Source organism: Homo sapiens, chromosome 15 (assembly GCF_000001405.40).
Source record: "Homo sapiens chromosome 15, GRCh38.p14 Primary Assembly".
NCBI lineage: Eukaryota > Metazoa > Chordata > Mammalia > Primates > Hominidae > Homo > Homo sapiens.
The window spans coordinates 27,990,204-28,008,961 of NC_000015.10; the positions used below are offsets into that span (position 1 = coordinate 27,990,204).

Below are 18,758 nucleotides of genomic sequence, written 5' to 3' on the forward strand. Positions count from 1 at the left end.
AGGACAGACCCTGGCCCAACTGACTCCCACCTTTCTGCACCAGCTAGGACGGTCCCCTCTAGTTCCAACACCCAGATCCAGCCCCATCACAACCCAGCTCCACAGCCCTAGGCAAACATGCCCATGAGGAGCCTTTCCTCCACCACGATGAGGAATCACACCACTGGGATGTGAGTGTGTGACAAAACCTAATGAAAAGTACTCTTCAATGCTGTAGCTTGTTAGTTCATACCTCTAGCATGGTTCTTGGGCAAAAACATGGACGTGGCATATAAAATAGTGAAAAAACCAGCGAAAGCCTGAATCCTGGAACATCTTTGAGCTGACATCCCACTGAGTGGTAAGCCAGGGATTGGGACTGTGACAACTTACATCGCCAATCACAGCCAGTGCTGCCAGTGCTGCAAGGGAACCCAGCATGGCCGCCAGAGTTCTGTGCACGATCTGGAAAGAAGCACAGGAAATTACCGCGTTCCAGTGCACGAGGGAGTTAGCACACACGAAAGCCTGTGTGGACATGAGGGGGTCTATATCTGCCACTGTGTACCACATCTATTCAAATGATAAGTCATGGGTCTTGATGTTTCAGGCCTGGACACCCCACAGACACATACAGCTACCACCAACGTGCCATCTAAGGGAAGCTGCTTGCATTTCCTAAATAATTAGATGACCCTGATAAAGCAGCGGAAGGCCAGATGGAGTATGTTCTATGAGAAAGGCCATAGCAAACTGTCATTAATTATTTGCCATATGCTCCCTTGGCAACTGGCCCATTTGTTCAGCAACATAAATCAATTCCTCCCAATTACTAGGCTGCTGTTAAACCAAAGGTACACAGTCCAACACTTCATCTAATTGAGATGTCTGTGTTATCACAAAAGCATCTTTTCTATTTGATTATAATTCAAATGGAAGTGGAATTTCTAAGACAAAATATGAGAAAAGGCCAAGATGTGGAGAATTGGAGCCCTCATACATTGCTAGTGGGAATGTAAAATGGGCTAGCCACTGTGGAAAGCAGTTTGGCAGTTTCTTACGAAGTTAAACATAAATTTACCATATGACCCAGCAATTCTACTAGGAATCCACCCAAAAGAAATGAAAACACATGTCCACACAAAGCACTGATGCTCATAACAACATTATACAAAGGAGGCGAAAACTGGAAACTTTCCAAATGTCCATCCGTGGTGAAGGGATAAAGAAAATGCGGCACAGCTCGTGCACGGATGAATGCTTAGAAGTGATGCTGGGGAAAGAAGCCAGACACAGAAGATGGGGTCGGTCCATCTATATGAACTTTCCAGAAAAAGTAAATTTAGAGAAACAGAAAGATCAGGGCTGCCCAAGGCTGGGGAAAGCAACAAAGGTTGACTGGAAACGGGTCCCAGGGATCCTTATGGGGTGATGAAATGTTCTAGAACTTGTGATGGTGGCAGAACTCTAAACTGGTAAAAATAACTTAATTGTACATTTCCAAGGGGTGAAATTAATGGTATTTAAATTATACCTCAATAAATTTGTTAAAAAAATACAAAAAGAATGTGGCAAGAACAAGCGGAAAATTAAACGCTAGCATGCATTATTCATTTCTTAATCCCCTAAAGGGACTTCCACTCCATTTTTTCACAGCTTCCATCTCACAGAAACTGACTCCCTTTACCAGTAATTACCTGAAATGCAAATTCTGACTAAAATTATATCATTTATAATGTGTAGTACTAGATTCAAAGTTCATTTTCAGGAAATGTGATACTAGGTGTTGGCTTTTCACAGTTTCACTTTTTAAGAGTTGTTTTGTTTGTTTTAAATGTAAATACCTAAAATCCAATAACTTGCTACCAAACTCTAATAATTCCTTCTGTTCGTTCTCTGCTTTTCAGTCTTAGTTTAGGACGCTTTTTTTTTTTTTGAGACGGAGTCTCACTCCGTTGCCGAGGCTGGAGTGCAGTGGCACCACGTTGGCTCACTGCAACCTCCATCTCCTGGGTTCAAGCAATTCTCTTGCCTCAGCCTCCCAAGTAGCTGCAATTACAGGCACCCACCACCACACCTGGCTAGTTTTTATATTTTTAGTAGAGACGGGGTTTCACCATGTTGGCCAGGCTGGTCTCCAACTCCTGACCTCAGGTGATCCACCCACCTCGCCTCCCAAACTGCTGGGATTATAGGCATGAGCCACCGCGCCCAGCCAGTTTAGGACCCATTTTAAGGATACTTCCTTATCCAATGCCAAGGGTGGCCCCAGGAAGCAGGCAGGGCAGGCATTCATCCCCAACTTGACAGCCATGGCGCTGAGAGTGGAGGGTCACCCGCTGGACATGGTGAGCAGGCACCAGAGCCAGGCTGTCCTATCCGCCCTACAGAGAACAAGGCGAAGACACTTCCCACTTTGGTATGTCTCTTTTTTGATATTTAATTAAGTCTTCATTAGTAGAACAGGATGTGACAGCATGCAAATACAGCCCATGGATGACAGGAGGAAGTCACTGCAGGGACAGAGCAGATAGGGATGAAGCCTGCTCCAAGCCAGCCCTGTGACCTCACTCTATGACATGTTCCTTTCTTCTGGCTTAACCTTTGGGCTAACTTTGTCTGGACGGAAAGGAGACTTCCAGTAAAGAGCAAAGAGCCGGCCTGGCACAGTGGCTCACACCTGTAATCGCAGCACTTTGGGAGGCCAAGGCAGGCAGATTGCTTAAGGCCAGGTGTTCAAGACCGGCCTGGCCAGCATCACAAGACCTCATCTCTACTAAAAATAAAAAAAATTAGCCAGGTGTGGTGGCACACACCTATAGTCCCAGTGACTCGGGAGTCTGAGGTGGGAGAATTGCTTGAGCCCTGGAGGCAGAGCCTGCAGTGAGCCAAGATTGCACCACTGCACTCCAGCCTGGGCAACAGAGCGAGACCCCGTCTCAAACAAAAAACAAAAAAGAGTGAAGAGCCATGACTGCCAGCCACTGGTCAGCAGGATTGGATAGCAGCAAAAATAACTAATTTTTATTGAGCACCTACTGTGCACCCGGCCCTGGATTAAGTGCTCTACACACACCATCTGCACCTTTCACAGCAACTGCATGAAGTAGAACTATGATAATCCACTTTGCAGAGGAGGAAACAGTCTCAGCTGAATAATTGTCCCCGTGTCGGAAAACAAAGGACACGCACACCCAGGATACAGACCAGCATTTTCTTACTCCAGAGCACCTCCTCTCTCCTCGTGGGGCCTTGTTTGCTCATTTGTAAAATCAGAAAACTGCACTACATACCTCAAGGAGCCCTCAGCTCTGGAGGAGGTCCGTGGACATCATGAAATCATGAGTCCTAGCAGATTAACACACAAATGAGCAAACGACAAGGCAGACAGCCATGGCCCTCTCAGGACAGCTGGGCTCATCGTGGTCTCACTGACACCCCTAGCACCCTCGCTAAGTTTGCTCCGCCCACTGCCACCATCAACACCTTTCTCCCCTCCCTCGTCACACACACCGGCTTGCAAGTGATCCACACATGAGCATCTCTGTGGCCCACAGTGAGTGCTTAGGACATGTGGATGCAGCTATCCTCACTCAGAAACCCACCCTCTTCCACCAGCTAAGGGGCCCCACACACCACGTGGGAGGCGAAACCATCACTTCCCATTTAAAAAATGGAAAAGCACGCTGATGATCCGCCTCTAGGATGTGGAATAAAACTTTTTAAACTACATGGTTGTAGAAGAAGATGAGTTCATTACTTCAGATATAATGATGGACACTACTAAATTTCTATGCTTAAGAAAAAGAATTTTCAGCTATCAGGAATAAAAAAATTTCTGGTAAATGGACCTAAAGAGTAAAAATAATAAAAATTCTTAAAAGATGCTTTAAAGCAGGGGTCCCCAACCCTCCTAACCCTGCCACGGACTAGTACCAGGGCCGCACAGTGGGAGGTGAGCTGGGCAAGTGAACATGACCGCCTGGGCTCTGCCTCCTGTCAGATCAGCGGCAGCATCAGATTCTCATAGGAGCGTGAACCTTACTGTGAACTGCGCATGTGAGGGATCTAGGTTGCACACTCCTTATGAGAATCTAACTAATGCCCGATGATCTGAGGTGGAACAGTTTCATCCCAAAATGATGTCCCACCCCACGGTCCATGGAAAAATTGTCTTCCATGAAACTAGTCCCTGGTGCCAAAAAGGTTGGGGACCACTGCCTTAAAGGACTGTACAAAGGTTCTCTTCCTGCCCATGCTCTGGGAAATATAGCACACCTCTTCCTACACCCAAACCACTTCCCAGGCACAGAACGCACCACCTAGCTTCCCAGGCATCGCCTCACAGACCCAGCCACCGTTCTATCACTGCACTCCTCTCTGGTCGAGCCGACACTCTGTGCCTATGAGTTTCTTTGGCAAGAGTCCAGCTGTGAGCTCCTGTGAGCATGGCGTGCCTCTCTTGGTTTCTTCAGTGCTCTGCAGCGCAAGCAATACATGCTGAGCAAATGAGAAGCAGAAAATGCATGAACAGAGCCTGCAAAACAGAAGGCCAGCATCGCTTCCTGGGAGAAGAAAGGAAAGAGTTTGGGGGCAGCCCCCAAGGAAATTATCTAGGGCATCTCTGATCTTCACGCATCTGCCCCTCCATAGTCACACAGGTTTACAGCTAGTCATCATGTAAATTCCAGATAGGTGGGATACCGAGCAGATGGAAAGACAAAACTTCTTTTGGTTACCATTTGCATGGAAATGGTAACCAAAAGACAGCAGGGATAGCTAAAGTTATATCAGACAAAATAGACTGTAAGTCAAAAACTGTCTCTAGAGACAAAGAAGGTCATTACCCACCCTCTTCCACTGATAAAATGGTCAATTCAACAGGGACCTATCACAGTTATAAATAAGTACACACCCAACACCAGAGCACCTAAATATGCACAGCAGTATTAACAGAGATAAAGGGAGAAATTGAAAGCAATGCAATGTAATAGGGGACTTCAATATCCCATTTAAGACAATGGATAGAACATCCAGACAGGAAACAGCAGACGTGAACAGCACTGTACACCAAGTGGACCTAACAGACATAGACCGAACTTTCCACCCAACAGCAGAAAAAGACATTCTTCTCTAGCACACACAAAAAAGTCTTCAGGATATATCACATATTAGGTCACAAACAAGTCTTAACAAATTTTATTTCTTTTAAAAAAAATTTTGTCTTAGAGACAGAGTCTTGCTCTGTCACCCAGGCTGGAGTGCAGTGGTGCAATCAAAGCTCCCTTTAGTCTTGAACTCCTGGACTTAAGCAATCCCCTTGCCCCAGCCTCCTGAGTAACTAGGACTACAAGTGTACACCACCATGTCCAGCTAATTTTTTTTTTTCAGAGATGGAGGTCTTGCTATGTTGCCCAAGCTGGTCTTGAACTCCTGGTCTCAAGTGATCCTCCTGCCTCAACCTCCTAAAGCACTAAGATTATAAGCATGAGCCACCATGCTTGAACTTAACAAATTTTAGAAGATGTAAATAATATCAAGTATATTTTCCGAACACAATGGTATAAAACTAGAAATTCATAACAGAAGGAAAATAGGGAAATTGATAAATATGCAAAAATTAAGCAACACTTTTTTTTTTTTTTTTTGAGATGGAGTCTCGCTCTGTCACCCAGGCTGGAGTGCAGTGGTACAGTCTTGGCTCACTGCAGCCTCTGCCTCCCAGGTTCAAGCAATTCTCCTGCCTCAGCCTCCCAAGTAGCTGGGACTACAGGCAAGCACCACCATGCCTGACTAATTTTTGTATTTTCAGTAGAGACGGGGTTTCACTGTGTTGGCCAGGATGGTCTTGAACTCCTGAACTCATGATCCGCCCACCTCAGCCTCCTGAAGTGCTGGGATTACAGGTGTGAGCCACCACACCCAGCCGCAACACACTCTTGAGCAACCAATGTGTCATAAAAGAAATAAAATGGAAATCAGAAAGTATCTTGAGACAGACAAAAATGGAAACACAACATACCAAAATTTATGGGACACAGCAAAAGCAGTTTTAGGAGGGAAGTTTATAGTGATGAATACCTACCTCAAAATCATTAGCCTGATTGGATGACACTACAGTGTATAAATGAATTGAAAACCACATTGTGCCCCATACATATATACAATTTTTATTTGTTAATTAAAAATAAAATAAAACTTTAAAAAAGAAGAAAGAGCTCAAATAAACAACCTAACTTTATACCTCAAGGAAATAGAAGAGCCAGCTAAGCCCAAAGTTGACAGAAGGAAAAAAATATTGGCAGAAAGAAATGAAACAGAGACTAGAAAGACAATTGAAGAGATCAGCAAAACTAAGAGTTGGGTTTGAAAGGATAAACAAAATTGATGGAACTTTATCTAGACCTACCAAGAAAAAAAAAGAGCACTCACATAAATAAAATTATAAATGAAAAAGAAGACATTACAACTGATATCATAAGATTACATGCCTACAAATTGATAGCCTAGAAGAAACTGGTAAATTCCTAGAAACATGCAACCTACCAAGACTGAATCAAGAAAAAATAGAAAACCTGAACAGACCAATAAGAAGTAAGAAGATTGAAGCACTAATCAAAAACCTTCCAACAAAGAAAGTCTCACCAATGGCTTCACAGGTAAATTCTACCAAACATTTAAAGAATGCCAATACTGGAACTTTTGTAAAACTTCAAACTTTTGCAAAAAATGAAGAGAGAACACTTCGAAACTTGTTTTATAAAGCTGGTGTTACCCTTCATACCAAAGCCAGATAAGGACACAACAAAAAAAAAGAAGAGAGAAAGAGAGAAAGAAAGAAAGAAAGAGAGAGAGAGAGAAAGAAGGAAGGAAGGAAAGAAGGAAGGAAGGGAGAAAGAGAGAGAAAGAAAGAAAGGAAGAAAGAAAAGAAAGGAAGGAAGGAAGGAAGAAGGAAGGAAGAGAGAGAGAAAGAAAGAAAGGAAGGAAGGAAGGAGAGAGAAAGAAAAGAAGAGAGGAAAGGATATAAAGGAAAGGAAAGAAAGAAAGGAAGGAAGGAGGAAAGAAAGAAAGAAAGAAAGGGAAAATTAATTAATTTCAGGCCAATATCCCTGATGAACTTAGATGTAAAAATGCTCAACAAGTCTTTAATCCATCTTGAATTAATTTTTGTATAAGGTGTAAGGAAGGGATCCAGTTTCGGCTTTCTACATATGGCTAGCCAGTTTTCCCAGCACCATTTATTAAATAGGGAATCCTTTCCCCATTGCTTGTTTTTCTCAGGTCTGTCAAAGATCAGATAGTTGTAGATATGCGGCGTTATTTCTGAGGGCTCTGTTCTGTTCCATTGATCTATATCTCTGTTTTGGTACCAGTACCATGCTGTTTTGCTTACTGTAGCCTTGTAGTATAGTTTGAAGTCAGGTAGCATGATGCCTCCAGCTTTGTTCTTTTGGCTTAGGATTGACTTGGCGATGCGGGCTCTTTTTTGGTTCCATATGAACTTTAAAGTAGTTTTTTCCAATTCTGTGAAGAAAGTCATTGGTAGCTTGCTGGGGATGGCATTGAATCTATAAATTACCTTGGGCAGTATGGCCATTTTCACGATATTGATTCTTCCTACCCATGAGCATGGAATGTTCTTCCATTTGTTTGTATTCTCTTTTATTTCATTGAGCAGTGATTTGTAGTTCTCCTTGAAGAGGTCCTTCACGTCCCTTGTAAGTTGGATTCCTAAGTATTTTATTCTCTTTGAAGCAATTGTGAATGGGAGTTCACTCATGATTTGGCTCTCTGTTTGTCTGTTATTGGTGTATAAGAATGCTTGTGATTTTTGTACATTGATTTTGTATCCTGAGACTTTGCTGAAGTTGCTTATATTGACTTAAACGTTAGACCTAAAACCATAAAAACCCTAGAAGAAAACCTAAGCAATACCATTCAGGACATAGGCATGGGCAAGGACTTCATGTCTAAAATACCAAAAACAATGGCAACAAAAGACAAAATTGACAAATGGGATCTAATTAAACTAAAGAGCTTCTGCACAGCAAAAGAAACTACCATCAGAGTGAACAGGCAACCTATAGAATGGGAGAAAATTTTTGCAACCTACTCATCTGACAAAGGGCTAGTATCCAGAATCTACAATGAACTCAAACAAATTTACAAGAAAAAAACAAACAACCCCATCAAAAAGTGGGTGAAGGATATGAACAGACACTTCTCAAAAGAAGACATTTATGCAGCCAAAAGACACATGAAAAAATGCTCATCATCACTGGCCATCAGAGAAATGCAAATCAAAACCACAATGAGATACCATCTCACACCAGTTAGAATGGTGATCATTAAAAAGTCAAGAAACAACAGGTGCTGGAGAGGATGTGGAGAAATAGGAACACTTTTACACTGTTGGTGGGACTGTAAACTAGTTCAACCATTGTGGAAGTCAGTGTGGCGATTCCTCAGGGATCTAGAACTAGAAATACCATTTGACCCAGCCATCCCATTACTGGGTATATACCCAAAGGACTATAAATCATGCTGCTATAAAGACACATGCACATGTATGTTTATTGCGGCACTATTCACAATAGCAAAGACTTGGAACCAACCCAAATGTCCAACAATGATAGACTGGATTAAGAAAATGTGGCACATATACACCATGGAATACTATGCAGCCATAAAAAATGATGAGTTCATGTCCTTTGTAGGGACATGGATGAAATTGGAAATCATCATTCTCAGTAAACTATCGCAAGGACAAAAAACCAAACACCGCATGTTCTCACTCGTAGATGGGAATTGAACAATGAGAACACATGGACACAGGAAGGGGAACATCACACTCTGGGGACTGTTGTGGGGTGGGGAGAGGGGGGAGGGATAGCATTAGGAGATATACCTAATGCTAAATGACGAGTTAATGGGTGCAGCACACCAGCATGGCACATGTATACATATGTAACTAACCTGCACATTGTGCACATGTACCCTAAAACTTAAAGTATAACAAGAAAAAATGCTCAACAAAATACTAGCAAACTGAATTCAGCAGCACATCACAAGGATCATATACCATGATTAAGTAGGAATTATTCCCAAATCCAAGGACAGGTTCAACATACGCAAATCAATAAATGTGATACATTGCCTTAACAGAATGAAGGATAAAAATCATAGGATCATCTCAATGAATGCAGAAAAGGCATTTGAGAAAATTCAACATCCTTTCATAATTAAAAGCTCTCAACAAATAAGGTATAGAATAAATGTACCACAACGTAATAAAGACCATATATAACAAGCCCACAGCTAACATTATACTCCATAGTGAAAAGCTGAAAGCTTTTCTTCCAAGGTCAGGAACAAGACAAGGATGCTCACTCTCACCACTTCTATTCAACATAGTACCAGAAGTACATAGTAGAGCAATTAGACAACAACAACAACAAAATTAAAAATGTCCAAATTGGAAAGGATGAAGTTAAACTCTATTTGTTTACAGATGTGATCTTATATATAGAAAACCCTAAAGACTCTACCAAAACTCTACTAACACTAATAAACAAATTCAGTAAATTCGTAGGATACAAAATCAGAACACATACAAAATAACAGTTTTACTTCAATATGCTAACAATGTACTATCCGAAAAAGAAAGAAAATAATCCCATCTATAATAGCATCAAAAAGAATAAAATAGGAATAAATTTAACCAAAGAGGTTTAAAGATCTGTACACTCAGGACAGTAAGACATGAATGAAGAAATCAAAGAAGATACAAATAAATGGAAAGATATCCCATGTTCCTGGTTTGGAAGAATTAATATTGCTAAAATGTCCATAACTACTCAAAGCAATCTACAGATTCAATGCAATCCCTATCAAAATTCCAATGGCATTTTTCATAGAAATAGAAAAAAATTCTAATTTATATGGAACCACAGAAGACCCTACATAGCCAAGTCAACATTGAGTAAGAAGGAAAAAGCTGGAGGCGTGACACTTCCTGATATCAAACTATATTACACATCTATAGCAATCAAAACAGTATGACTGGCATACAAAGAGATATATAGACCAATAGAACAGAAGAATCAACAGCCCAGAAATAAACCCATGCATGTTACAGTCAACTAATATTTGACAAGAATGCCAAGAATACACAGTGGGGAAAGGATAGTCTCTTCAATAAATGGTATTGGGAAGCTGGATAACCACATACAAAAGAATGAAAGTGGACCCTATCCTACACCATATACAGAAATTGACTTAAAATTGATTAAAGACTCACATGTAAGACTTGAAACTGTAAAACTTCTGGAAGAAAACACAGGAGAAAAGCTCCTTGATGCTGGTCTTGACAATGATTTTTTGGATATAACACTAAAAGCCCAGGTAACAAAAGCAAAAAATAAACAAGTGGAACCATATCAAATTAAAAAGCTTTTGCACAGCAAAGGAAACAAACAACAAAATGAAAAGACAACCTACAGACTCAGAAAATATTTGCAAACCATATACCTAATAAGGGGTTAATATTGAACATATGTAAGGAACTCATACGAATCAAGAGCAAAAAAATCAATAACCTGATCAAAAAATGGGCAAAGGATAATAGACATTTTCCCAAAGAAGACATGCAAATGGCCCCCAGGTACATGAAAAGGTGCTTAGCATCATTAATCATCAGAGAAATGCACATCAAAAACACAATGAGATATGGCCTAACACCTGTTAGAATGGCTGTTATCAAAAACACAGGAGATAACAAATGTTGGGTAGGATGTGAAGAAAAGGGAACCCTAGTATGCTGTGGGGGTGCAAATTAGTACAGCCACATGGAAAGCAATATAGAACTTTCACCAAACTTAAAAATAGATCTACCATATGACTGAGAAAAATCCCACTTCTGGGTCTATATCCAAAGGAAATGGAATCAGAATCTCAAGTAGATATCTGTGCGGCCATGTTCATTGCAACCTTATTCACAGTAGCCAAGATACAGAAACAACCTAAGTGTCCACAATGGATGAATGAATAAAGAAAACATGTTTCATATACATACAAACACACACACACACACACACATACACACACAAATAGAATATTATTCACCCTTAAAAAGGAAGGAAATCCTGCCAATTTGGGACAACATGGACGAACCTGAATGCTAAGTGAAATAAGTGAGACAGAAAGACAAATACTGCATGATCCCACTTATATGAGGCCAAAGGGAGCTCTGGGGTCAGGGGTGGAAGGAGAGGAGGGTGTGGGAGATGAAGAGCTGACCGCCAGAGCTGGGCACTGGGGCAGTGTGGTCAGGGAAGGGTTTGGATTTAATTCTACATTTCTCATTTAAAACATAACCAACTACTTGCCAAAAAACACATATTTTTCTTTCCTTGTGTGTCTGTGAAGGAGGAAAAAAATAAAGAACAAGGAGGAAGGGTGCAGGAAAAATGTTGCAGAGAAACTTCCAAATGACTTGGACACATCAGGAAGGAAGAGATGAAGGCACCCAAGCCACAGGACAGCTGCCTGAACTCACAGCACTGCCCCCAGGGAGCTGCAGCCCCAGAATGTGGTGCTGGAGGACAGCATGCACCTCAGCGATGCCCGGAGGCCGTGCACAGCCCTGACAAATGCCCAGCCGGGCAGAGCTGCAGAGGAGCCACAGAGGCACCTGGTTCTCTGCAGCATCGGCTCTGCCATTGGATTCCAGCTAGGCGACCTGGAGCCTGGAGAGGCCGAGAGCTGCCGGGCTCACGGCACTCTGCACCATAAGTACAACAGAGTGGGCTGTGTGCACCAAGATGTTCAAGTAGGTCACTGACACGGCAAACACTGGCTAACAGAAATTGGTTCAGATGTGGGGCACTCCAGAAGCAAAATGCTAAAATATATGGCAAGACTTTCAAGGTTGGGCAGGAGGCACCAAAAAAGCTGATACAAGAGGCCAGAAAAATGGCAACTAGGCTTGCACAGTAGCAAAACATGAAGTAGGGGTGTCCCCCGGGATACCAAGGAAGTCAGAAAATATACCTAACCAACTTGGATCTTTGGAACGTAGAGGCTTGAGCTGAGGCTGGAACAGAGGAAGCTAAGAGGTGTGTGGCAGATGCTGGACCATGGAGCTACAGGGCATGGTCTGACCCCATGGGGCCTCCCTGCAGGGCCTGCTCCGCCTGCTTCCTTTCTCTGCAGGGTGGAGGTGGGCTATGGTGAGTGCCCTACCTCACTGTGGTCTGTGGGGTGCATGAGGGCAGAGAATGCCCACTCGGAGGCTGTGGCCACTGGTCCTTATCCCATCACTGGCTCCTGCATTGGGGGCAGGAGCCCTTAACAGGATGAAAGCTTTTGGGGAGGAGATTGTGTACCTGGTTTGAGGAGTAAACCTGTGGCTGCCGATCGGTCCAGGAGAGCCGGGTTCCTGTGTTCCCAATCATCTTCTGCTGGCCTTTCCTCAGCGGGCTGATGGGGTGGGCTCCAGGCCACGCGGGAGCCTCACAGGGCTGCGTCTGTCCCTGCCACCAAGGCCTGCTTTCCTCTGCTCTTACATGGATGTGATGAGTTCCTGGCCCCTTGTTCTTGTTGATATTTTGTCATTATTGTGTGTTATCTGATGTGTTCCCTTTGCAAGGCCCCTTGGACACCGTGTGACCCAAGGAGAAGGTATACACTCCAAATTCAAATATCTTCTTTTCAGGTATTGCCCACAAATACTGAGCTGATTTTCTAGCCTGGCTTATGTTATGCAGAACAATAGATCCCAGAGCTCGAAGGCACCACAGGAAATCAGTGGAGCAGTCCTCCAGCATCCGAAACCTCCTGGCTGTGATTTCAGTTCTGAAGTGATGATGCCCAGCTGTGGGCTGTGGGCCTGCGGGTCCGCGTCAGCCACGCACGGACTGTGCTTCTTCCCCCACGTGATCCTGCCTGGCCTGCAAGGAGAGCTGAATTTTCAGTACTCAGTTCCTAAGGTACAAATTCCTATTGTATATGGAAAAGCTTTCTGCTCAGAAGCTATAGAAGCTTAGCTCCGCAATAAAATAGCCTGTGAGCTGCCAACTCCGCCAGCTTCGGAGAGTCACATTGGCCAGCCACACTTCCCCATCTTAGAGAATCGAGATGTTCCCAAAGCTGCTTTCGCGTGACTGTATCCCTAAATATACAAAATTGAACAGGTGCCGTCCCTACCCCTGGTTCAGACGAAAGATGGCTCTAGAAGCTGGCGGTCCCCACCCAGGACGCCCGTCCGTGCCCCACGCGCGCTGCCGCGTTCGTCTCCCACAAGAAGCCAGGAGATGTTACTCTGTTTTGTGGGTGAGGGGAGTAAAATGTGGAAAAACCACAGCCTAGAGTCTGAAAGCCTGCATTCTGGCTGCTACACGCTGGCTGCGGGGAACGACGGGAAAGCAGGGCCCTCCGTGGTGCAGCGCGTGAGCCGTGCGCAGGGCAGTGTGCCCCCCGAACGCTGAGCCCGAGGTGTGTCAATGACACGGCCCTCGGGGGTTCTTAGAAACGGGATCTCAGAGTTGGCGGATGTCTGAAGACCGCCCTCGACGTCCACGAGGGTGGCGGTCCCACCCCTAGCCCAGCCTGCTCGCGTCCTCGATCTGGGTGCTCTGAAGGTGGGCCTTCCAAGGGCCACCCCACGAACCCGCCCGCGCCGCCTGCTCCCTCCACCGCGTCATGCTCCGGCCTACGCCCCGAGCGGGGAAAGGTGACCTGAGAGTGATGCGAAACCGAGGGACTCAACCTGTCCCTTCCCGGCTCTGCTGGTGTCCACGTAGCGCGCTGCGCGCCCGCGCGGAAACACCGTCCAGCCGCTGCCACCCAGGCCCTGGGCCCCACAGGTCTGCAAGACACCCTGCTCTTCCTTCCTGTGGGTCTCTCTGCACGTCACTGATCCTTCCATTTACCAAAGTAGCCCACAGAAGAACATCAGTCCATCGTCTCCTGTTTTCAACATGGAAAAGCAGCCTACGACATCGAAAGACCTGTGCACAATAGACAGCAGAAGCTGCCGGCCCTGGGGTGGGAGCATCCCCTGCGGCTCCGCCCCCTCTCAGCCCCCCTGCTAGGCGCCCTGTGGCAGCTGTCCCCGTGGTGTGCTGCATTGTCCCCGGGACACTCTTGCCTGCCACCCAGCTCCCCAGAGCACGCGCTCTGGAAACCACCTCTCCAACCAGAGTGTGAGCAACAGGCCGAGGCCCTGACTTCCAAGCTGGGCTGCAGGGGAGCCTGCGGGGACGCCAGCGGGGCACCCGGACCGTCTGGCACACACCCACACACAGACACACACACAGTCACACGCCCTCACCTCACATACACGGTCTCACACTCACCCTCCCTCACATGCCCACACACTAACACAGTCTCACACTCACACACTAACTGGTATACACAGACACAACCATGCAGTCACACACTGTGACACCCAGACACATGGTCTGACACACACCCTCACATGCCCACACACTAACAGTCTCACACGCTGACTCACACACTAACTTGCACAGACACAACAGAGTCACACTCTCACATGCAATCACACACAGACACATGGTCTCACACACACACCCTCGCTGTGACTCACACACAGCCTCACATGCACTTAAACAGTAATACACATACTCATGTACTAACACACACACAGTCACACACTCACATGCACCCCAACGTCCTTCCACTTGATCCCACACTCTCACGGCAGCCCGATCTTTTGATGACAGACAAGGCCATCAGACTGTGGGGGAGGAAGCCCCTCCACCCCTTGAGCCCCAGATTTCTTCCTGTATATCAAAGAAAATCACCATGCCTCACAATGTGGCTGTGACAGAAACTGTGTGCCGGCCTCGCCTCGCACTGCCCCTGCGAGCTGGACCGTGGTGTCAGGGCGTCCAGGAGGCAGGCAGGCTTGGGAGGCTCCTCTCACACTGCCTGTAGCTCAGCTCAGCTCAGTTCAGCCCGCCAGTCCTCAGCACCCCCACTTCCCCTCCTCAGAAGGAGGCTGATTCCATGGAAATGGCTGTGATTCCACAGAAAGGGCTGGGGGGTGTCTTGAACCTAGGTTCAACCCTGCCTTCACTGCCTCCCAAGCCCCCGTCTCCCCAAGCCCACATCTCCCCAAGCTCACATCTCCATTGGCAAAACCGGAGCACAACACCTCCTTCAGAGACCTTCTGTATGAGTTTCCCGGGCTGCTGTCACCAAACCCACCCTCCTCTGGTCCTGCAGGTAAGACATCCAGCAGGTGCGCTACATCCTACATCGAGGCGTCGCAGGAACGCATTCCTTCTGCAGGCTCTAGAGGAGAATCCATCCCTCACCTTCCCCTAACACCCAAATCCCATGAACAGGACCCCTCTTTTCCAGCTTCGAAGCCATCAACGGTGAATCAAGCCCTCGCATCACACTTCTGTGACCCTTTATTCCATAGTCACCTCTCCCACTGACCACAGCTGGGAGGGCTCTCCATTTGTAAAGACCCACTGAGCTCACCCAGATAGTCTCTACATCACAAGGTCATTGGCATAATCACTCTGCAAAGCCCCTTTTGCCGTGTGAGGTCCCATATGCAAATGGTCTGGGGGTTAGGATGTGGCATCTTGGAAGTGGTCATTTAATCAGCCTACTGCACCTTTTCAGAATCAACATAGATGATGAAAACATAGAGCCAGACCCATGGTAGGAGCATGACAGACATCTGTTCACCTTGCACAGCCTTCTGGGCATTGGCTACAGATAATTCCCATCTCCTTGAGAAGCGCCACACCCTGGTGAGAAATGTGGACTCCAAAGGCAGCCACTGGCCAGCTGGGGAACTTTGGGCAAGTGGTCTGACTTCTCTGTGCTTGATGTCCTCAACTATAAAATGGAGGTGGTGATAAAGTCTGCCTCATGGGGTTGTGGGGTTGTCCATTAACACACAGAGAATTCCCAGAACAGGGCTGGCCCCTCCGCACACGTTAGCTCCGGTGGTTATCACCATCATCATTTTCTTTGAAATCAGAGCCCTCAAGATTCACTGTGGCCCTCCTTCCTGCACTGGCTTCCTTTCGCCCCACCACCCCCCACCTCTCATTGGATCTGGCTTCGAACAACAGCATGCTCCAGAGCTCACTGCATGTGCAGGAACAGCCAAGGGCATGCGAAAGAGAGCCATCCAGGAGGCGAGGTTGGAAAGGGTCCACCTACTTCAAGCAGTCTGCAAAATACTTGCCATTTTTCTAAGGAATGATGTGGCTACTCACTTTGAGAAGAAATGCTGGATTGTGAGCTTGCCAGAAAAAAATGTGAGTAGCATGGCCCAGTGGCCAGAAGACCTATGTCCCATCCCGACTCCTTCAACTGCAAAAGTGTCTCTGCAATTCAGTTTATGTGTTAAGCAGAGGGAGTGTATTACATAATCCACCAGTTTTCCTGCAGTTCTGAAGGAGTCCTTTTCAAGAAAGAAAAGGAGAGGTATCTCTGGAACAAGGTAATGGAGCAAGTTTGCCAGTGCTACTTATGCAATATGTTCCATGAATCAGCAGTAAGAAGAGGCTTGCAGACAAAAAGAAATGAATGAGGGGGCAGAGCCAATGGCTACAGATTTAAATTGCAGCCCTGCAGAGCATCATAAGAACAGAAATTAGGAAAACCTAACTTGGAGGTTTGCAGTGTTATGATACGTGCATTGGGTTTTGAAATGCAGCTCTTCTCTCTCCAAATATGCTTCCCATTTCTGTAAATTAAAAATGGAAACTCCCTGGAAGATGGAAGGTGTTCTCTATTCATCTCCCTCGAATTTAATTTCACAGTTAATTTTTAAACCAAACACTACACGAACTCCTAAATTAAATATGAAAGGACCCAGAGCAATGAAACACGATGTTACACAAAGGCTGCATCATTTTGCTACAATTACATAAAGTGGGTGAAGGGAAAGAAAGGGCTCGCTTGTTTCCAGCAGAAAGGAGCTGTGGTGGCAATCCTTCTTAAAACATAATACCAGGGGTTGGATGGAAGACATATGGAGAAAATGCACTGTCTCATTTATGTTGTGAAATATTGTTCATTAAGACTGTGTCAGAACTATTTTAATTTTATACAGTATAAGGGCATAGAAGCCTTAGCTCTGATAATGGAATTTTTAGAATGCTGCATTGGGAAATCTCCCAGAGCCGTATTATAGATGCAAAGTGCAAGAGTTAGGAGGATTGCTCCAACTGTGTTCTTTGGGACTTTCAACAAGAACTACTTTACAAGGATGGGCCGGGCATGGTGGCTCACGCCTGTAATCCCAGCACTTTGGGAGGCCAAGGCAGGCAGATCACGAGGTCAGGAGTTCGAGACCAGCCTGGCCAACATGGTGAAACCCCATCTCTACTAAAGATACAAAAAATTAGCCGGGGGTGGTGTCTCGCACCTGTAATCCCAGATACTTGGGAAGCTGAGGCAGGAGAACTGCTTGAACCCGGGAGGTGGAGGTTGCAGTGAGCCGAGATTGCACTATTGCACTCCAGCCTGGGCAAGACTCCATCTCAAAAAAAAAAAAGACCTACTGTACAAGGATGAAAGATACAACCCCAAATCCTCAGGCAAGAAAGTGCCAATCAGGATGATTATCTGTAGGACCAGAAGTATAAATAACCCAAGGTATTTCCTGAAATAATTTCATCCCATCAAGCTATTAAAAGACCTAAGGGAACCCTGGCTGATCCTTTGTTCCCATTCAGTCACTCATGGATCACTGGGCACAAAGTCAGGGGTGGAAAGTGCCCCCCACGTAGGAGCCAAGTTAGACCAGACCCAGAGGACCTTAGCACCTGTCTCAAATATCTGAAGATGCTCTGGAAACATTTGTTTAATATTTATTGAGCACTTGCTCTAGGCCAGGCAGTGTCCAAGGCACTGGGAATCAACACTGAACAAAAGCAACCAACAACAGACACAATAAGTGAGATGGAGCGCCCACGACAAAGCATGTAAAAAGTAGAGTAGAGTTTCCTCTTCAAAGACTTCCTCCCCATCTCATTAGAAATAAATAGTAACTTCTCTTAGAAGCAAAATTTATTCAAATACCTGTGCTAACATTCTTAAATATCTGCTGGCCGTAATAAAGAAATCAATGTACTTTATGTTCTTAGCTCCCACAATTTAGCCTAAATACTTGTCCTGGCATGCTTATACTAATCCAAGCAAGCATTAGCTCATAGCCTGTTCCTCTTCCTTATTTAAAGGTGTTTGTTTTTACCTTTCTCAGCATTCTACAAGTTACTTCCTCCTTCCTTTGTTGTCCTCTGCCTTTGCCTCTTTTAAAAAGTTCTAAGTTGCTAGCCAATCAAAACAAATACAAAATGTGAGGTCCCGTCCTAGCCAATGGAAACCAGACACAGTAGTAAGGTGGACACGTCAGGTTATAAATGACCCTGTCTCCTTTGTTTGGTATACTCTCATGGCAAAACTACTGGCGAGTGTGCCCTTTCTGCAGAAAGTATAAAAATGGCCTTGCTGAGGAAATTAAATTTATGTTCAAGTGCTATTTCTTTTCGGCACCAAAAAACAAACATTTCAAACAGAGCAGATGAGAAGGGATCAGGGAGGAGGCCATAGCCTGAGGCAACAGTGTCAGCATCTGGGGAGCAGCTGGCAGCAGCAGATTGGGAGGACAGGCAGGGGCATCTGCAAGCCACCCCAAGACTCCCCTGAGTAGAGCAGGATGCAGACAGCAGTGGCACAGCCTAAGCATGCCTGCCTGCAGAATCTAGAGACCTCCAGTTCTG

The 18,758-nt window shown here is 45.3% G+C and overlaps 1 protein-coding gene across 30 annotated transcripts in view; it reads right to left on the bottom strand.

Annotated features, from left to right (window-relative positions):
* Nucleotides 1-18,758, bottom strand: part of OCA2 (OCA2 melanosomal transmembrane protein) — a 380,308-nt gene that overhangs the window by 271,196 nt on the left and 90,354 nt on the right. For 15 of the 30 annotated variants that reach the window (XR_001751294.2, XM_047432614.1, XM_047432606.1 and 12 more), the window contains one exon: nucleotides 373-444. The exons of the other annotated variants lie outside the window; for them this stretch is intronic. Coding sequence is in view for 14 of the 15 variants with exons in the window: in XM_047432614.1 (XP_047288570.1) it covers nucleotides 373-444 (72 nt within the window). In the remaining variant the exon portion in view is untranslated. The remainder of the gene's footprint in view (nucleotides 1-372; nucleotides 445-18,758) is intronic. 30 annotated transcript variants of the gene reach the window in all.